The sequence below is a fragment of the Homo sapiens genome, chromosome 4, assembly GCF_000001405.40.
Source record: "Homo sapiens chromosome 4, GRCh38.p14 Primary Assembly".
Classification (NCBI taxonomy): domain Eukaryota; kingdom Metazoa; phylum Chordata; class Mammalia; order Primates; family Hominidae; genus Homo; species Homo sapiens.
Window position 1 is genome coordinate 75,592,633 of NC_000004.12, and position 22,205 is coordinate 75,614,837.

Sequence of the window (22,205 nt, forward strand, 5' to 3'; positions counted from 1 at the left end):
TAGTTGCTGTTGTCTTCATAAATTTTGAACAGTTTATCTTCACATGTATATCATATCTCCCCCTAGCTTATTTTTCACTTTCCCAATATAATTTTGTTGTTCATTTTTCTATATATGTCCTTGTCTTGCTCCTCAGAGTTAGAATATAATACTATCTTCCCAGGAATACAATTTATTAAGACACAGAAAGAATTATAACTTCAATTATTTTCCTGATCTTTCTTAGTACTATTATTTCACAGTTGATAAAGTCAGAAAAAATAGTGAGGAATAGCAGCAGCACTTCAATTCTGCATCCTTATGAATTTGACACTTTTCCAATATTTTTCATTCGAGAATCACAGAAAGCCTGTATTCATATGTATGTATAATGAGCTACATACACACAAACATATGTATAATGACATTAAGTTATGGAGGTTCCTTGATGCCTCAAACTTAATATTCTGTGAATTATGCCATTCTGGCTACCAGAAAGTCTTCAAGAGTCCTGCAGTGAGCTTTTGAGTTTCTTTCTTTTGGATGTTTCTGCTTACTCTTTTCATAGAACAAGCGCTAAGGCTATTGGTTCAAGTTGGTTATAAAATAAAATAGTTAAAGAAAACTATATGCAAGTACAAAAAATAAAATTTAAAAATGAGTTTAAACTACCAGATTAACATATTCAAAGAGTGAAAATAAAACATATATAATATATAATATAATATATTTATTCACACATCAGAATGGGGGCATAAAGCATGGGAGAGAGGTATTGATCTTTAACATACAAGTTGAAGAAAGTCTAGGCTTAGCTCTGCTTGCATTAATTTTCGTTAAGGAAAGACTCCACTGGGTCTTCACCCTCCTAATCTTCACCTCCTCTCTTGATTACCTCTTCCAAAGAAGAATAAATTACCTCTTCCAAAGAAGAATAAATCAGATCTAAAATTATCAGCCAGCATTGATTATGCAATACCTGAAAGCAGGTTGATATCAGTTCTGGCAAAATGGTATTGAACCAGCTATTTTGAAAAGCCTTCCTGATTAAAATAATCTTCCAAAGCAAATCAGGATTTTAAAACACAAATATCCACAAAGAAACCAAAAAAGAAAGTACTATTGGCACAGAAATTATAAACTAAGAATAATTAAAAGAAAAACAAATACAATGTCCAAATCATGAGAGAGATGAAAAGGCTGTATTTTTCAGCTCTGAAGATAGTGAGAGAAATAGAGAGGGAAATTTGTCTCACACACACACAAACACACACACACAAGGAATATTCCTTTGGGAATACATCCATACCTCCCTTTGTTGTGAAAAGCATTCATTCATTCAGTATGGAGTCTTTCCTTAATGAAAATTAATGCAAGCAGAGATAAGCCTAGACTTTCTTCAACTTGTAGGTTAAAGGACAATACCTCTCTCCCATGTTTTATACCCCCATTCTAAGGTGTGAATAAATGTATTATTATAAATATTTATTTTGTGTTTTATTTTCACTCTTTGAATATATTAATCTGGTAGTTTGAACTCATTTTTAAATTTTAGGCCAGCCCTGGTGGCTCACGCCTGTAATCCCAGCATTTTGGGAGGCCAAGGTGGGCAGATCACCTGAGGTCAGGAGTTCGAAACCAGCCTGGCCGACATGGAGAAACCCCGCCTCTACTAAAAATACAAAAATTAGCTGGGTGTGGTGGCAGGTGCCTGTAATCCCAGCTACTCGGGAGGTTGAGGCAGGAGAATCGCTCAAATCTGGGAGGCGGAGGTTGCAGTGAGCCGAGATCATGCCACTGCACTCCAGCCTGGGCGACAGAGCGAGATTCTGACTCGAAAAAAAAAAAAAATTATTTTTTCTACTTGCATAGGAAGGAAAAGTACAGTGAAGAAAACAAAAGCACAAATCTCTGCCTTGGAATCTTACGTTCTAGCTGGGGGAGACAGACAATATATAAATAAGAGTATATAGACGATGTCAGGTAAATGCAATGGAAAAAAAAATAAGCAAGGAGAAGGCATCGAACATAAAGGGAGGCATAATGAGTTACAAGACTTCACAGTAAGGTTTCATGTGAGCTAAGAAGAGAAAAAGCAAATCCATTGGGTTATCTGGGGGAAGAATGTTCCAAAGCAAAAGAAATAGCAAGTGCAAAAGCCCAAAGGTGGGAGTATGTCTGACTATGTTCCAGGAATAACAAGGAAATCAGTGTGGTAGAACAGATTGATGGAGAAAGAGTAGGTGGAGATGGGATAGAGGGTTGGTTGGAGTCAATCCTGCAGGCACTTATAGACCCTATAAGGACTTTGGCCTTTCCTCAGTGATAAGAAGCTAATGGAGGAAGTTTAGCAGAAGAATGATGAGGGTTTCACCTAACTTCAAAAGAGAAACATTCTGGAGGCCATGCTGAGAATAATAATGGTCCTTCCTGTGCTCTGTCTAAATACAATATGATACTATGCTTTAATTTGCTGATCCTCTAGATCATGAAGTCCTTGAAAAGAAAGATTGACTTATTTATTTCCAGTGTCTCACACATAACGATTGATAAATATTTATTATATAAATAAATAGAATCGTTTCTTTCTTCTTTTTTTTTTTTTTTTGAGACAGGGTCTTGGTCTGTCACCCAGGCTGAGGTGCTGGGGCACAATTACAGCCACAGCTTACCACTGTAGCCTCAACTTTCCAGGCTCAAGCAACCCACCCATCTTAGCCTCCCAAGTAGCTAGGACTACAGTCATGTGCCACCATACCCAGCTAACTTTTTAAAAAATTTTTTGTAGAGACAGGATCTTGCTATGTTGCTCAAGCTTGTCTCAAACTCCTGGGCTCAAACTATCCTCCCACCTCGGCCTCCCAAAGTGCTGGGATTATAGATGTGTGCTACTGTCCCTGGCCAATAGAATACAGCCACCAAAAATCTGGTGTGGGTGAGATAAGACAATTTATCTTTTCATCTACTCTAAAAAAGAACTGACCAGCAATCATCAAGTTGAGAAAATTTACTATGTTACTAAAGAAAAAATAAAACAAGCCAGGCACAGATGGCTCACACCTGTAATCCCAGCACTTTGGGAGGCCAAGGCAGGTGGATCACGAGGTCAGGAGTTCAAGACCAGCCTGGCCAAGATGGTGAAACCCTGTCTCTACTAAAAATAAAAAATTAGCTGGGTGCGGTGGCAGGCACCTGTAATCCCAGCTACTCAGGAGGCTGAGGCAGGAGAATCACTTGAACCCAGGAGGTGGAGGTTACAGTGAGCCAAGATCTCACCACTGCACTGTAGCCTGGGCAACAGAGCAAGACTCCATGAAAAAAAAAAGAAAAGAAAAAGAAAGAGAGGAAGGAAGGAAGGAAGGAAAGAAGGAAGGAAGGAAGGAAGGAAGGAAGGAAGGAAGGAAGGAAGGAAGGAAGGAAGAAAGGAAGGAAGGAGTTTTTAGACTCATAAAACTTAAACTTTCAGAATTTCACGTTTATGACTATGATGGGTTGGGATAATATATGCACAATTAAGGTTTCACTTTATGTGTATCCAAACAAAATTCTCAATACTTCACTATCATATTTAATTTTAATAAAAGTCTAGAGCTGACTGGTGTTTGCTCTTCTACTACTGAGAACTGCTTACTTACTAATGTGGTCACATTAATGTTATAAATGCCTGATGGGGAATGTCTGTTCGGTTTAACAAATGGAATAGAACACTTCTTAGTTTTCTCATCCACTCTGTAACGACAAAAAAAAATGTTTTTAAGTTAGAACCAGCAATAATTATTTTTTCAAGCACAAAACTAAATGACACAGCACCAACTAACAAGCAGTTTAACCAGAGTGTAATGTCTATTCTCAAATATACAATGCACATAAATCTGGTGAAACATTCTATTCTTTAACACTACCCTCATGCCTCCCAGCAGCCCCCAACTCCTACCAAATACATTACCCTCCTTTCAGCAAAATTCCCAAATGGAGCTTCCTTATACTACTATAGGCTCACAGTCACACCATGCAGCAGCAGCCACTCAAAAATTATCTCTTTTAGTATGACAACCTGCTTTCACATTATTAGACTATATAGCTGTAGATTCTCTTCACCTTAAGCAATAAAACCCTACTTTCTCAGGACTTTGGTGAATTGTTTTGATCAAATGCTAATAATCTTCATCACACAGCCAAAAAGTCTTTTGAAACAGCTACCTGACAAGAATGAATAGCATCCAGAATTCTGAGAATAAAAACAATGTGGATGAATTGACAAACCCTTGCAATTTGCAAATATGTCCTTAAACACTTTTTTGATCTTATTTTACTAATTCATACCTGTAACCCTGAATTGGTATAGTCTCAGTCCCCATTCCAGAATTAATGCTGGGAGCAACTGCAGAAAGATTGTGTGTAAGTGGGGGAATTGCCACGCTTGGATTCCTTGTGTGGTCCACGCTGACATTGCTGCAGTCTTTGAGGCTTGTTGAAGGCACTATTTTGTTGTGGCTTGTCCTACTGTCATGGAGACAGCTGGCATTTGAAGCTCTATTGCCTTTTTCAGCTTTTTCTCCATCAATTTTTGAGCCTTTTATTTTAAATAGTTTATAATCCTTAATTTTGGGATCAGCATTGGTATCCTGATCATTAACAAAAATATTAATAAGGTTAATGATCTGAAGAGAATGAAAATTTACCTCTTCTTATAAAGTACTTGTCAACTAGAGCAGAATATCATAAGTATCACCTTTTTGAAACTGTTTTCTTTATTCTTCCTAGGGGATTAAAATTAAAGCCAGATTCTTATTCAGATAGTTATTGGGAAAATACAAAAAGAATGGAAATGCAATTCACACAGCTCACTCAGACACACACACACACACATACACACACATCAGTGGAAAAACTCATGGAAGAGGAATCAAGAATTCCACTTTTGTTCTTACATATTCAGAGTCATGGAACACAAAACTGATAACTCTTTCTTCTTTTGGTGTACTTGATATAAGTGGATTGGTGGTGGATTTGAATTACCTTATCAAGAACAGATCCTGGGTAGTTCACCAGGAAAAGCAAACCTAAGTTAAGTATCCAAATCTCACTTTTCAAATTTTTACTTCATATAAATTTCTACAGACAATATTTTTCACTCATATCCTTTAAGAAAGATAAGTGGGGTGAGGGTTGTTTGTTCCATGTGTCTGTGTGTATATGTGTTCATGAAAACACATATCTAGATGTTCTTGGATGAATGTGATTTAAGCACTGTTGCACAGTCTGGCACATAACAGGTACTCAAAACATGATATGTTAAGTTTTCTAAACAGGTAATATCTACTGAGAAGATACATTTTTACAACTAAACTAAAAGTTAACAATTTGCTCACTGCTCAGAAAACTTTTTTCAAAATCATATTTTTTCTCAAAAAATTTAAAAAAATAAGTATATTAAATCTAAAATGTGAAACATGAACATTTACCTGTACCACAAGTGTTTTTCTTTCTTCAACTAAGGAATCATCTTTTTCTTTTTCCTTCTTTCTGTTTTGGGATTTTTTAGATAAAGAAACATTTCTGGCATCTTTCTGTACTTTTAACTGTAGTTCTTGGGAAAACCTACATAAAAATATAATAAAATAAAATTGTAAGACATGGATAAACCTACAAAAAAATTGACTTTCAAGATATTTATTTTTTAAAAATTGAATGTTAAACTAGTCTATGTTATTAAAAATGAGAAAAATCCTGGCCTAGATCAGCAGTTTGGAAAGGGTGGTGTGTAGATCTTTGGGGATCCCTAAGAACATTCAGAAGGTTCACAAAGTCAATGCTATTATTTTAACATAAAGATGTTTGTCTTTCTCACCAGGTTAACATGAAAGCAGTGGTGGATAAAACTGCTGACACCTTACCAAGAAGAAAAGCAGCAAAACCAAAATGTACTAGCAGTCATTACTTTCTTGATAACCACACATTCTCAGTTGCTTTTTTTTTTTAAAAAAAAAAAAGGCAGTCTTGCTTAAGAATGTCTCTGATGAATCAGCAAAAAGGTATTGACTTCATTAAAGCCAAACTCTTAAACGCATCCTTTTTTTATGGTCTGTGTGACAAAATGAGAATATACGTAAAGCACCTCTGCTACAAACCGAAACACTATGGTTGTCTTAAGAAAAATGCTTGCATAATTATTTGTGATACAAACTAAACTAGATATTTTTACTTGAAAGAAAGACTGACAGAAAAACTATGGTTATTAAGACTTTGGGTCTATGGGAAACATTTTCTTTTAACAAATAAACAAAGTGATCTTGTCACTTCAAGGAAAACAGAAATAATTGTGTTAATGATAAAATTCAAAATTTTATGCAAAAATTACAATTCTGTTAAACTTGTATCCACCACTGTGAGCTTAGCAGCTTCCCAAAACTCACAAAACTTTTATGAGATAGAATGTAATTTTTGATGCTGTACAAGAAATATATCAATATTTTTAAGATCTGCTTAACTCAGCAAACTAATATTTTCCAAATGACTAAAGCATGATATTACAAAAGCATGCATGGGTAAAAGATCCATTAAAAAGGCAAGACAGACAAATGGATTTTAATTTAACAAAGGAAGAAAGACTCAATGATATGGTTTCACATTCCACAATGCAACCAGCCTTTAAGAAACTACCACTGGGCCAGGAACGGTGGCTCATGCCTGTAATCCCAGCACTTTAGGAGGCCCAGGTGGGCAGATCACCTGAGGTCAGGAGTTCAAGACCAGCCTGACCAACACAGAGAAACCCCATCTCTACTAAAAATATAAAATTAGCCAGTTGTGGTGGCACATGCCTGTAATCCCAGCTACTCGGGAGGCTGAGGCAAGAGAATCGCTTGAACCCAGGAGGTAGAGGTTGCAGTGAGCCAAGATTGCACCACTGCACTCCAGCCTGGGCAACAAGAGCAAAAAAAAAAAAAAAAAAAAAAGAAACTACCACTGTCAAGTTTTGCTATGGTATCAGAGTTTTGGTATAGAATCAAAGAATACCCACAATTATCTACTTACGTGAGGCCAGAGTTTCTTCATATACTTCCACAAAAACAACATATCACAACTAATTGAGTACAAAAGCAAATAGGAAAACCTAGCTACCTTTTATTAAGCTACGTGTTACTGCCACTCATCTCACTATTCTTTGTTTCGTCAGCTGCACTGTTGCCAGCAGCTTGAGCAGCACAGAAGACCATGCCAGCAACTCTGGCACCCACAGGTTTGGCATATCAAGGTCTCCAACACATCAGCAGTGTCAGCAGTATCAAAGGACTTGGTGTGGTATGAGTTTGGCAGCAATAGGAGATGGCACTTTTGTAACTACATCAGCATCTAAGATGATGGCATCACACAGTTGGTAGCAACATAGAAATCAATGATCTGACTGGTAGACGTCACCACAGGGAGACAGAAAGAAGACATAAAATGACCGCTTCATGAAAACCAAGAGCACTAATTTAGTAAATGTAGGAGACCACCCCTAGGAACTGCATTATTGCTAAGGGAATATGGGGGTAGAGTGGTAGATATCTGAGATCCTGCAAAGTAGGTGGGAACAGAAATAAGAGAAGTGCTATTTGTGACTATTGTGGAAGACTTTAACCCTAGGTTGGTATGGCCTGAAAAACATGGGTAAGTACTATACCTCTCAGCAAATCCATCCATTTGAAAGAAATCATGGTGTAGGAGCTCAGCACAGAAGGGTCTTTTGTCGGGGTCAATATGTAAGCATTTCTGAAAAATTAAGAACACTTAGAGTTCATATCAAGAAAAACTACCTACATTTAAATTTATAAATATAGAAAAAAAATCCTCTTTATAGTCAACGATTTTTTTTTTTAAGACAGGGTCTCACTCTGTTGCCCAGGCTAGAGTGCAGTGGTGTGATCACTACTTAACCGCAGCCTTGACCTCTCTAGGCTCAGGTGATCCTTCCATCTCAGTCTCCTGAGTAGCTGGGACCACAGGTGCACACCACCACACCCAGCTAATTTTTGTATTTTTTGTAGAGACAGCGTTTCGCCATGTTGCCCAGGCTGGTCTCGAACTCTGAGCTCAAGCTATCCACCCTCCTCAGCTTCCCAAAATGCTGGGATTACCAGCGCAAGCCACCACACTTGCCCGCCAATGAATTTTACACATCAATAATCAAGGATAAAGAATAAAGCACAAATCTAGACAATGACCGTCAGTGGTTGCTAGTATCACAAAAAGACCACCAAACATTCAGTGTCTCTATATGGAAATACACAAACCTCCTATGAAGTAGTTTTGCCAAAAAATCAACCTGATTCTGATCGAGCTCTAGCTCTACTGTGAGTTTATAAGAAATACAGGACACAGAAGAACATGTATACTGCATTATGTAGAAAATTCTAAGGACAAACAACTTAGTTTCTTCAACAAATAAATTGCAAGATTTAAACAAAAAAGAAAGAGATGAAGAGAAGCTTATAAATAAAGTTTTAAAAATATATCGACCAATTGCAATCTATAGTCTTCATTTAGATCCTAATTCAAACTATGAAATGAAATAAATTTTGTGAAAATTAATGAAACTTTAAACATCAATTAGATATTTTATGATAGTAAGAAATTATTTGGAATTTTTAAAACTTAAGGCTATTACAGAATGGAAAGGAAAGGATTTATCCTGTGCTTATCACTATGCTAGATGCTTTACAAAGATTATTTTATTTTATTTTATTTTATTGCAAAGTCTTGTTCTGATTCATTAAAACCCCTAACATGCCAGTAAAAATAGAAGGGACTCAATAAGTAGCTTTAAATGAACAAGAAAATTTCTCTGCATAACTGTGCTACTTATAAGTAAAATAATACATCTGGGATTTGCTTCAAAATACTCCAAAAAAAGTTAAAGAGTGTAGATAAATTAAACAAGATTATCAAAAGGTTGATAATTGTGGAAACTAGATGATAAGTACATGAAGGTTTGTTAAACAACTATTCTTTCTATTTTCTTTTCCGTTTGAAATTTTCCATAATAAAATGTTTTAAAAGTTTTATATGATTCCTTAAGGTATGATTAAGGTACACAAGTTGGACAATAGTTTTACCTTTATTCCCTTTATATCTCCTTACAGATAGATCACAAAGCTTGTACCAATTAAAAATATTTGCATCTGTTAGAAGATTATGTAAAAAACTGGAAATGTATTATTCTAAGAACTTGTTTAATTAGTTATAAGCTTATTAAACGTCATGAGTTAAAGAATTAAAAAACAAAAAAATTGGGTAAATCTTATAGCCTAGTGTTTTAGAGGTACCTATCTTATCAATATTTAAACAATCTTAACTGATGAGAACTTTTTGAGCTAAAAATTCCCCAAAAAGGTCAAATTTTAGAGTTGATTCTCACTTGATAGAATGAAAACCTAACATCTTCCTTAATCAAATACAACAAAAAAGTATTGGCCATTTGTAAACTGGCTGCAGCCAATACAGTGGCTAAGCAAAAACCCCTTTGACAATATCATACAGATCATGATCCTATGCCCTACATTTTGTTTTTTTTTTGTTGTTGTTGTTTGTTTGTTTTTTTTGACATGGAGTCTCGCTCTGTTGCCCAGGCTGGAGTGCAGTGGCGTAATCTCAGCTCACTGAAACCTCCACCTCCCAGGTTCAAGCAATTCTCTGCCTCACCTTCCCGAGTAGCGGGGGTTACAGGCACGTGCCACCACGCCCAGCTAATTTTTGTATTTTTAGTAGAGATGGGGTTTCACCATCTTGGCCAGGATGGTCTTGAACTCCTGACCTCATGATCCACGTGCCTCGGCCGCCCAAACTGCTGGGATTACAGGCATGAGCCACCATGCCCGGCCATCCTATGCCCTACATTTTAATATTTTCCTACTTCTCTATCCTTTATTTATTTATTTATTTAAAGAGAGAGTTTCACTCTGTCACCCAGGATGGAGTGCAGTGGTGCGATCTCAGCTCACTGTAACCTCTGTCTCCTGGGTTCAAGTGATTCTCCTGTCTCAGCATCCCGAGTAGCTGGGATTACAGACATGCACCACCATGCCCAGCTAATTTTTTTGTATTTCTAATAGAGATGGGGTTTTGCCATGTTGGCCAGGCTGGTCTCCAACTCCTGACTTCAAGTGATCCACCGGCCTTAGCCTCCCAAAGTGCTGGGATTACAGGTGTGAGCCACCATGCCCAGACCCTTTTTATTTTCTTATCCTACTTTTATTTTCTTTTCCATTTAAACAAGGCGTGTATTTTAAATGTTAAACGTAAAAATCATACAGTGTTTTTATGTTTTTAATGTGTTTTTCAGTGAGGATGTTTTCACATTTACAAAATGCTAGATAACAATAAATGGTTTCTTTTTTTTTTTTTTTTTTTTTTTGAGACGGAGTCTCGCTCTGTCGCCCAGGCCGGACTGCGGACTGCAGTGGCACAATCTCGGCTCACTGCAAGCTCCGCTTCCCGGGTTCACGCCATTCTCCTGCCTCAGCCTCCCCAGTAGCTGGGACTACAGGCGCCCGCCACCGCGCCCGGCTAATTTTTTGTATTTTTTAGTAGAGACGGGGTTTCACCTTGTTAGCCAGGATGGTCTCGATCTCCTGACCTCATGATCCACCCGCCTCGGCCTCCCAAAGTGCTGGGATTACAGGCGTGAGCCACCGCGCCCGGCCAATAAATGGTTTCTTAATGAGTGTTAAAACAGGTAAAATTTTCAGTCCTTTTTCTCTGAAGTTACCCCCATCAAATTATTTAAATTGTTTCTAAATGTACAAAAATTAAAATTATTAGAGGAAATTGTTGACCTAAAAGATCAACTAGAGGCCAGGGCTGGTGGCTCACACCTATAATCCCAGCACTTTGGGAGGCCGAGGCGGGCGGATCACGAGGTCAGGAGATTGAGACCATCCTGGCTAACACAGTGAAACCCCGTTTCTACTAAAAATACAAAAAATTAGCCAGGCATGGTGGCGAGCGCCTGTAGTCCCAGCTACTAGAGAGGTTGAGGCGGAAGAATGGTGAAGCTTGCAGTGAGCCGAGATCATGCCACAGCACTCCAGCCTGTGTGACAGAGCAAGACTCCATCAAAAAAAAAAAAAAAAGATCAACTAGACAAGTAAAAAAAAAAAAAAAAGGTCTTGATAGTGCATAAATTCCCTGTCATAAAGTGTAAACAATAAGTATGATTACCTTTGCTAAATCTATCACCACTTCAGAGAGCTTAGGATAGCGTCTTTCAAGAGGTTCTCTTTCCTTGATTTCAGGCAACCTTACTCCAGCAAACACAGGATTTTTATTAAAAAGCTCCTGATGCCTTGGAATTAGATTACCTGGAAGTGAAAACAGCACATATCTCTGTTATTATACAACATGATAGAAATGGTGAAGAGACAGGTGGTGTGAAGTAGAGGAAATAGTGGAACACAGCTTATGGAGTTTGGGGCTCTCTCAACATGCAAAATTGACCAAAGACAATGCCGTTACTGTGGTGGTATATGGCAGTCTTAAGGAGCATAGGAAAAGGACAGGTAAAAAATATTTTATAACTTTCCAGATATAAGTACCAGCACTTCGTTTCTAACTAGAAAGCATAAAGTGCTGAATAAAACAACAAATATATTAATAGTCATATGGACAGGATCTAATCTAGATAAATCAGTTCTCCCCTTTAAGAATTTAATATTTGGTCAACTGATTTTGTGCTTATCTTAAAGTCAGATTTGAGCACTTTAATCTTTTTTCTCAACTTTAATATCTAGTTGAATGTAGAATATATCTGAAAATTCCACTGTAAGAAACTATTGTACTGCTTATTTAATTTCTAATCTGAAAACTTCAAATCAAATAGTTAAATTACCCCCAAGTATTTTCCCATTATTTCCATTTCTAAGCTCCATCTTCAAACATGAAGTTGATATTTCAACAAACGTAAGATTTTGATAGTCCAGCTTTGAAATTCTGTCAAAAGCACTAATAGCAGAAGTCCAAATCTGTGCCAAGATTAAATCAACCTTGGAAATCTCTGTGTCTCTCCTCTTGAATGTGAAAGTAAGGACAGTAGTCACATTACACCAAATGCTTACTGACTCAAGAATAATAAATGATCATTGCATCCTCTCTACATGTAATTAACGGTATGTAAAAGTACAGAGAAATGCACAACCTCTGCTCTTTTCCTCTCTCTTGAGGGGAAAGGGGATGTGAGCGTGATTAAGAACATGCACCAGGGCGGGCCACAGTGGCTCACGCCTGCAATCCCAGCATTTTGGGAGGCCGAGGCAGGAGAATCGCTTGAACCTGGGAGTCGGAGTTTGCAGTGAGCCAAGATTGCCACTGCACCCCAGCCTGGTGACAGAACGAGACTCCGTCTCAAAAAATAAAAAAGAACATGCATCAGATAGACCAATGCCAGACTGAAGGAAAAAATAAATTAAAACACACACGTGGCTGGGCGCGGTGGCTCACGCCTGTAATCCTAGCACTTTGGGAGGCCAAGGTGGGCAGATCACCTGAAGTCAGGAGTTCGAGTCCAGACTGACCAACATGGAGAAACGCCATCTCTACTAAAAATACGAAATTAGCTGGGCATGGTGGCACATGCCTGTAATCCCAGCTACTCGGGAGGCTGAGGCAGGAGAATCGCTTGAACCCAGGAGGCAGAGGTTGCAGTGAGCCGAGATTGCGCCATTGCACTCTAGCCTGGGCAAGGAGAGCGAAACTCCATCTCAAAACACACACACACACACACACACACAGAGTTTTCCTATATGCTCCCTACCTTCACTTAAAACATATATAATCTTTAATGCAACAGCTTAAAAAATCACAAACACACAGGCACAAACAAATATGCAGAAAAATCTCTAAAATTTAAAATGCAGATGTGTAACCTTACCTAAACACATCATAATATGATATAGCTGATCAATATCAGAATCTCCAGGAAATAGGGGTTCCCCCATGAACATTTCAGTTACCAGACAACCAATGGCCCACACATCAACAGCCCTGAAAGAAAAGCAATGTGGTGTAAAATCTGGCATCCTAATATGCTCCAAAACCCAAAGCTTTTTGAGCACTGAGGTGATGCTCAAAGGAAATGCCAACCAGAGCATTTCAGATTTCAGATTCTCAGATTTGGCATGCTCCAATGGTATAATGCAAATATCCCAAAATCCAAAAAAAAAAAAAAACCCATCTGAAATCTGCAACACTTCTGGTCCCAAGCATTTAGGATAAGGAATACTCAACCTATAGTAAGCCTTAAATTACCCATGAAATGATTTTTCCCTATTAAAATTCTAACTCCCAATTTTACATAAGTGAGCTTTCCAGAAACTTCAATCATGTGACATAAAAGGGAAATGCCTTCTGAAAAGCCAAAACAGTTATTATGTATACTTTATTCTGGAAATAAAACTCTCAGGCTCCATTTAGAGCCTATTCATTCTTTGTTTACGCATAACTCTAGCAAGCTTGACCAATCTATGCTATGCCATCATACACTGAAAACAGCATACCAGAAAGAGGAGGTGGCTGCTAAGGATAAATACAGTAACAATGAAGAGAACTGAGGGATGATAGGGATAATTTTTTTTTTTTTCTTGAGACAGAATCTCACTCTGTCGCCCAGGCTGGAGTGCAGTCGCGTAATCTCAGCTCACTGCAACCTCTGCCTCCCAGGTTCAAGTGATTCTCCTGCCCCAGCCTCCCAAGTAGCTGGGATTACAGGTGCATGCCACCATGCCTGGCTAATTTTTGTATTTTTAGTAGAGATGGGGTTTCACCATGTTGGTCAGGCTGGTCTTGAACTCCTGACCTCATGATCCTCCCGCCTGGGCCTCCCAAAGTGCTGGGATTACAGGCATGAGCCGCTGCACCCAGCCTAGGGATAAAAATTTTGAAACTATCTTAAAAATCAGTTACAAGAACTCAAAGAATATGCAAGCATCATTTGGCATAGGAACAACTACCTTAAAATGCTTAAGGTTATTGCTGAATTATAAAATGGCACAAAAATTATAACATGGTAGCAAAATAAGAACTCAGTAATCAAGAAAATAATAAATAATGTTTAGTGTGCTCTGACAACAGAACTTGTAGAAAATATTTTAGAAAGATTTCAATCAAAAGCAGTAAAAGTTACAACCCTTTCTTCTTTGAAGAATTCCCTTGTGAAGAAAATTTATGTTTTAAAAACATTTTACTTAATTATATTTCTGCCTCCACCCTTGCTTACTCCATCTTCCCCATTCCAACAATGTCACATTTAACCAATCAATGTTCACCTCTCTTTACAAGTGATAAATATATCTATTTCCAACCCACTGTATAAAATAGACCACTTAATTTCCCCACCTCTAAAATAAGTATACTTGTTTCACAGGAATGTTTAAAGGGGAAGCACCAAAAATGATTACAATTTACTTTATATAGTCCCTGAAACTCAAGCCTTCCTTTCAGTATTAGAGGGATCATTTACTATATCATAAACATATTCCACTATAGCAAGAAGCAAGAGTAAAAATCTACTCCTCCCCATTACTGATGTCTTACTTGCCATACTTGACATCACCAACCAATAGTTCTGGAGCTCTGTACCATCGGGTTGCCACATAATCAGTATAAACCTCCCCAGGAGCTGCCAATGTTCGCGCAAATCCAAAATCGCATAGCTTGACAACGCCAGACTGGGAGACTAATATATTCTCTGGCTTTATATCTCTGTGTATGATCTAGACAAGAAGCAGAGTGTGACGGATGTTAAATAAAATTAATTATTTTGGGGCACCTGCTATGTGCAGGGCATTGTATGTTGTCCCTATAAAGAATACAAACAAAAGCATAGAAAGTTGCTCCTAGCCCTCAACAACCTAGGACCTAGTTGGGCAAGAAAGAACATCTATACTTGAAATTTTATTTAAACAATCAAAAACATTGGATAAAATATATTTTTTCAAATTACTAAATCAACTGTTCAGTTAATGTACTGCTCTCAAGACTAAGAGAGTAAAGCTATCATTGAAGCTGAGGCAGTCAGGGGAAATTTTTATGAAAGGGGTGGGCTCTAACATAGGTCTTTAATACTAAGTATGACCTAGATAAATAAAGAGAAAGAAGGGCAGCCCAAGTGAATGTAACAAGGAGAGCAAGAATGGAAATGGGGATAGATAAGAGATTGTGGGGAAAAAAAAATTTTTTTTTGAGACGGAGTCTCGCTCTGTCACCCAGGATGGAGTGCAGTGGCGCGATCTCGGCTCACTGCAAGCTCCACCTCCCGGGTTCACGCCATTCTCCTGCCTCAGCCTCCCGAGTAGGTGGGACTACTGGCGCCTGCCACCACGCCCGGCTAATTTTTTGTATTTTTAGTACAGACGGCGTTTCACCGTGTTAGCCAGGATGGTCTCGATCTCCTGACCTCCTCGTGATCTGCCCGCCTCGGCCTCCCGAAGTGCTGAGATTACAGGCGTGAGCCACCGCGCCCGGGCCAAAAACCTTTTTTTTTTTTTTTTTTTTAGGCATCGTCTTGCTCTTGTCGCCCAGGCTGGAGTGCAATGGCGCGATTTCGGCTCACTTCAACCTCCGCCTCCTGGGTTCAAGCGATTCTACTGTCTCAGCCTCCCGAGTAGCTGAGATTACAGGCGCCTGCCACCATGCCCAACTAATTTTTGTACTTTTAGTAGAGACGGGGTTTCACCATGTTGGCCAGGATGGTCTCAAACTCCTGACCTCAGGTGATCCACCTGCCTCGGCCTCCCAAAGTGCTGGGATTACAGGCGTGAGCCACCACGCCTGGCCAGAAAACTGTTTTTTCTAGAGTATAGGTTGTGTGAAGTGGAGGCGGAATATCTCAGCTGACATACTAGGAAGTGTGGCAAGACCCTGGGAACCCATGGAAGTGATAGACAATGTGGTGTTTAAAATTGATGTTGGCCATAAATGAGCTAAATCAGAGAGAAAGACGAGAGGCAGGAAGAAGAGCAGTGGGACCAGTATGAGGTGATAAAGGCCTAACCTAGGTTGGTGCTCAGAGGAATGGGAAGGAGGAAATGCAGTTTAGAAATACAATAAATCAAAAATCAATAGGCCGCACGCAGTGGCTCAAGCCTGTAATCCCAGCACTTTGGGAGGCCGAGGCAGGCAGATCACTTGAGGTCAGGAGTTCAAGACCAGCCTGGCCAACTTGGTGAAACCTTGTCTTTACTAAAATACAAAAAAGTAGCTGGGCGTGCTGGCACGCGCTTGTAATCCCAGCTACTTGAGTGGTTGAGGCAGGAGAATTGCTTGTACCCAGGAGGTGGAGGTTGCAGTGAGCCAAGATCGCACCACTGTATTCCAGCCTGGGCAACAGAGCGAGACTCCATCTCAAGAAAAAAAAAAAAAAAGAAAAGAAAGAAATAGAATTTAGAAGAGTCGTAGATATTTTGTAGATATTTTGTTTGAACCTGAGAATTTAAAAGAATGGTGGTTTCATTTTCAAAATTAGAAAAGCCTAGAGAAAGTTAGTTTTAATGGAATAATTAGTTTAGTTTTAATCATTGGACTTTTGGGTGGAATGCTGAGCACCCAAGTATAGACATTCATCAGGCAATTAGAAATGTAAAGAGTAAACAAAAACATTAGTGATTAAAATTTCTAAAGGAGAGACTTTGTAAGAATAAAACAGGATGCTGATATTCAGATAATATTTAAAAATCTGGCCAGGTGCGGTGGCTCACGCCTGTAATCCCAGCACTTTGGGAGGTTGAGGTGGGTGGATCATGAGGTCAGGAGTTTGAGACCAGCCTGGCCAACATGGTGAAACCCCGTCCCTAGTCAAAATACAAAAATTAGCCAGGCACTATGGCAGGCACCTGTAATCCCAGCTACTTGGGAGGCTCAGGCAGGAGAATCTCTTGAACCTAGGAGGGGGAAGGTTGCAGTGAGCCGAGATTGCGCCATTGCACTCCAGCCTGGGCGACAGAGACTCCATCTCAAAAAATATATATATAAAAAATATTATATAGATATATATCATATATGATATATTATATATATAATATATATATATTTAAAAATCTACAGCTAGGCAAAAGACATTATTAGGCCTAATTCTCTAATATAAGCAAATTGTATTTTGAAAACTAAAAAAGATAGATTTGTTTTAACTCTTTCGGAAGACCAGCATCCTAAACGGCAATCTGCCATTGCTGAGCACGTTGTATAGGCTACCAACTTTATTACCCTAGATATCAGTGATGAGGACACAGGTCCAGTCTCAGACCACCTGTGCTGTAGTAGAAAGAGCTAAACTGGGGCCGGGTGCGGTGGCTCACACCTGTAATCCCAGCACTTTGGGAGACCGAGGCGGGTGGATCACGAGGTCAGGAGATCGAGACATCCTGGCTAATATAGTGAAACCCCGTCTCTACCAAAAATACAAAAAATTAGCCAGGCGTGGTGGCAGGCGCCTGTAGTCCCAGCTACTCGGGAGGCTGAGGCAGGGAGAATGGCGTGAACCTGGGAGGCGGAGCTTGCAGTGAGCCGAAATCGAGCCACTGCACTCCATCCTGGGCGACAGAGCGAGCCTCCATCTCAAAAAAAAAAAGAAAAAGAAAAAAAGAAAGAGCTAAACTGGGAGTCGGGAGACCTGGGTCTAGTCCCTGGTTTTCAGTACAGCCATAGACAACTCAATCTTTCTAAGTCTATCCTCTCGGCCCACAAATGAGAGGGCTAAAGTGCATGATCACCATGTTTCTTCCCAACTCTAATACCTTATAACTTAAGTAACACAATAGATTCTAAGTATAACCAAGATGATATGAGTTGAATTTTTCCTAAAATCCATCATTGCAGACTGGGGTGGCCAGAGAAAGTACTATGAAAAGGGTAGGCTCTGACATGGGTCTTTAATACTAGATATAACCTAAATAAATTATGATACCTAGTAATTTCAGTAAAAAAAGTCGTTTAGGGTTCTACAAACCTCATAATGTTCTGTACTATTTGGGTCAAACTTCAATGGGCAGCAATCTTAAATTTGTTTTTAAATATGTTATTCAGTCTGGCTCATAAAGGATTAAAATCATATTTATATTTTAAAAAATTCAAGTGCTCACATATATAGATACATTTAAAAATGAATAATATATTTGAGAATAAATGTTCTCATTTTCTTAAAGTCAAGCATCTCATCCTTATGTGTACATATATGTGTTTATATATATGTATGTATGTATGTATATATCTGTGTGTTTTATTCCAGCCACTACCGTTATTATCTGTCTACATTAAAAAGAGAAATGTTAACTGCCCAGAAAACAAAACCTTAAAATATACCTTTAATAATAATGGTAATAATAGCTGACACTTGAATACTTATGTGTCAGGCACTATTCTAAATGTTTTTCATGTTTTAACTTATTTTATTCTCATAATAACCCTAAGGATAGGTGCTATTATTATCTCCATTTAACTAGGGGCTGGGAGTAAGGATTGGAGAAAAGGTACTAGGGTTTGAGAAGAAAGAGGGTAAGAAATCACAATCTAGAAGAGTTTAAGAGTAAATGGAGGCTGGGCACAGTGGCACACGCCTGTAATCCCAGCACTTTGGGAGGCCGAGGTGGGCCGATCACTTGAGGCCAAAAGTTCAAGACCAGCCTGGCCAACATGGCGAAACCCCATCTCTACTAAAAATACAAAAATTAGCCAGGCATGGTGGTGCACACCGGTAATCCCAGCTACTTGAGAGGCTGAGGCAGGAGAACCGCTTGAACCCAGGAGGCAGAGGTTGCAGTGAGCCAAGATCGTGCCACTGCACTCTAGCATGGGTGACAGAGTGAGATTCTGTCTCAAAAAAAAAAAAAAAAAAAAAAGAGTAAATGGACTGGAAAAAAAGTAGTATGCCAGGCAACACTAATAACACTAATGCTCCCTTGAGACAAGTGTTCATAAGTTAGAGTGAGATCAGTTCTCCACCCATAAAAATTCACATTTTCTATAGTTTAAAGAGATATGTAAATGTTCTGAAGCTTAGCAGGGAACCACCTTTTTTTTTTTTTTTTTTGAGATGGAGTTTCGTTCTTGTTGCCCAGGCTGGAGTGCAATGGCACAATCTCAGCTTACCGCAACCTCTGCCTCCCAGGTTCAAGCAATTCTCCTGCCTCAGCCTTCCGAGTAGCTGGGATTACAGGCATGTGCCACCACGCCCAGCTAATTTTGTATTTTTAGTAGAGACGGGGTTTCACCATGTTGGCCAGGCTGGTCTCAAACTCCCGACCTCAGGTGATCCACCCGCCTCGGCCTCCCAAATTGCTGGAATTACAGGCGTGAGCCACTGTGCCTGGAGAAACACTAGATTTTAAAATCTTTTTTTTTGTTTTTGAGACAGAGTCTCGCCATGTTGCCCAGGCTGGAGGGCAGTGGCACGATCTCAGCTCACTGCAACCTCCGCCTCCTGGGTCCAAGCAATTCTCTTGCCTCAGCCTCCCAAGCAGCTGGGATTACAGGTGCCTGCCACCATGCCCGGCTAATTTTTTTATATTTTTAGTAGAGATGGGGTTTCACCACGTTGGCCAGGCTGGCTTCGAACTCCTGACCTCAAGTGATCAGACCACGTCGGCCCCACAAAGTGCTAGGATTACATGCATGAGCCACCACACCAGGCCTAAAATCTCTTTCCTTAAACACAGAATGGCACTCATGCCAGCAGTACTTGACTCTAAACTGCCTGGATGTATCTGTACATCTAAAGGTAGAATGTGTTATATTAAACATGGGTTGATTCATCATGAAAGTATAAAAATAAAGGGACACAGAAGCAATGTAGGCAGGACACATTCAAATGCGCTTCTAATGTGAGAGAGACAATGGTTCTTTTTGCTTACTGGTTCCACTGGCAAGCCTATCCTTAGTACAGAGATGAATGTAGGGCATTCAGCCACCTAACTCCAAATATTACAGGCCCATTGGGAAGATATCATCATTTTTATGAAGAAGGATGAATCAGTATCTTTTAAACTGATACATTAAGTATTTGATTCACTAACACCTCATGCTGATCTGATTTCCTGCAAATCCAACATTATTGTTATTCTACTTTATATATTTCACCCCGTAACAATTATCTCTCTTTGCAATTTACTAAACTGGCATTCAGTCTCCTGAGTTTGGTCAATATGAGTCTGCCCTAAGAGACAGATAGTCTCAAAATTAGGTTTCTCAAAATAGATTTTCTGGGCCGGGAGCGGTGGCTCACGCCTGTAATCCCAGTACTTTGGGAGGCCAAGGCAGGCGGATCACGAGGTCAGAAGATCGAGATCATCCTGGCTAACAAGGTGAAACCCCGTCTCTACTAAAAATATAAAAAAATTCTCCGGGCGTGGTGGCGGGCGCCTGTAGTCCCAGCTACTCCGGAGGCTGAGGCCGGAGAATGGCGTGAGCCTGGGAGGCGGAGCTTGCCGTGAGCCGAGATCGCGCCACTGCACTCCAGCCTGGGCGATAGAGGGAGACTCCGTTTCAAAAAAAAATAGATTTTCTGAGCCTGGATCATTAAAAAGTTGCCAGGAGGCCACTATGGAAGGCCTCCTAAAAAAGGGCAGTGTTTTTCCCAGTGGAAACTAGGTATCTGCCTCTACTGAGCAATTTTTTTATGTATGTAAACTTCACACTATAACTCAGTAACATAACAAAACTACACAATAAAAGACAGTTAAAAAATTAGAGACAGTGAATAATAATAATAACCGAAAAGAAATATATCAATTTAGGTGGCAGGTATGTAAAATGATTTTTTCTTTCTTTTATAATTATCTTTAGTTTTAAATTTTTCTACCATTAATATTTATTACTCTTATAATCACACAAAGAATGTCATTTAAAATATTTTGTAAAACTGGCAAAATCTATGTGTTGAGCTATTCATTTATACTTTATAGGTATCATTCTTCTTGTAAGTGCTTTTATATGATACTCAAAGTATATAAAATTATTGTGATAGACTACAGGGTAAGGGTAGAAATTTTCAAACATTCACACTTTGTAATTAGGCAAGAGAACACAAACTAACAAATACACAGACCCTTGGGTCTATACATTTCTCAAAATTCATCACTTAAAATTTGTGCATTTCGCTTAGTAAATATTACCTTAAAAAAGAACAGAAAATAGAGCCAGGCACGGTGGCTCATGGCTGTAATCCCAGCACTTTGGGAGGCCAAGGCAGGCAGATCACCTGAGGTCAGGAGTTTTGAGACCAGCCTGGCCAACATGGTGAAACCCCATCTCTACTAAGAATACAAAAATTAGCCAGGCGTAGTGGTGCATGCCTGTAATCCCAGCTACTCAGGAGGCTGAGGCAAGAGAATCACTTGAACCTGGGGGGCAGAGGTTGCAGTGAGCTGAGATCTTGCCACTGCACTCCAGCCTGGGCGAAAGAGCGAGACTCTGTCTCGGAAAAAAACAAAACAAACAAACAAAAAACTCAGAAAACAAATATTTAACTCCAATTAATAGATGCACAGATGAAGTATTTAGTGTTAAAGTATACTGATGTCTGCAACTTATTTTCAAATGCATAAATCAATAAGACAGATTAAAGGATTAATGAATAAATATGTGATAAAGCAAATTATTTAAACCCAATACTTACATTGTGACTGTGACAAAATCCAATTCCATTAATAATCTGAAACAAATACTTTTGAACTACTTGGTAGTCTAGTCCATTTGGAAAGAGCTCCAAGTCATCAAGAATTGTGTGGTCAACAAATTCAAAGACTAGGTACCATCGTTTTTTTTTCTTACACACTTCCAAGAGATTCACCAAGTTTTCATGCCTAAGTTGCTGTTATTAAAAAATGCAAAATAGCTGTTATTTAAAAATGCAAAATAGTTTATATAAACTAAGATCAAATTATTAGCAATTAATTATTTAAAATAGATCTCAGCGTAAGAAAAATATATAAATAAAATGCATACATAGTGTAAATTGTAAAAGCATATTCTGGTTTTTAAACTACAATTGAGAGACTATATTGCTCCTTTCTCCTCTCAGAGAACAAAATAAAGCTAATAAGAAAAATAAGTGTAACTCCATCTTTGCTAAAACTAAGAGGGATCTATGACCCCCTACTCACAACAAATGAGATGGGACTACTAAATCTAATCACGGTCAAACAGGAGTATAGGAAGGCACCAAAAGATCATCTGTGGCTACAAAGCTGGAAGCGTAA

General features: G+C 39.0%; 1 protein-coding gene across 12 annotated transcripts in view; it reads right to left on the reverse strand.

The window, feature by feature from the left end:
• CDKL2 (cyclin dependent kinase like 2) overlaps window positions 1–22,205 on the reverse strand; it is a 54,033-nt gene that overhangs the window by 16,137 nt on the left and 15,691 nt on the right. For 10 of the 12 annotated variants that reach the window (XM_017008811.2, XM_017008810.2, NM_003948.5 and 7 more), the window contains 8 exons: window positions 21,623–21,817; window positions 14,551–14,729; window positions 12,890–13,002; window positions 11,185–11,324; window positions 7,649–7,737; window positions 5,445–5,580; window positions 4,303–4,604; window positions 3,615–3,708 (listed from right to left, as the gene is read on the reverse strand). In XM_017008811.2, the coding sequence (XP_016864300.1) occupies window positions 3,615–3,708; window positions 4,303–4,604; window positions 5,445–5,580; window positions 7,649–7,737; window positions 11,185–11,324; window positions 12,890–13,002; window positions 14,551–14,729; window positions 21,623–21,817 (1,248 nt within the window). Of the gene's footprint in view, window positions 1–3,534; window positions 3,709–4,302; window positions 4,605–5,444; window positions 5,581–7,648; window positions 7,738–11,184; window positions 11,325–12,889; window positions 13,003–14,550; window positions 14,730–21,622; window positions 21,818–22,205 lie in introns of those variants that run through there. The other 2 variants (XM_006714406.3, XM_047416387.1) reach the window with 2 other exon arrangements.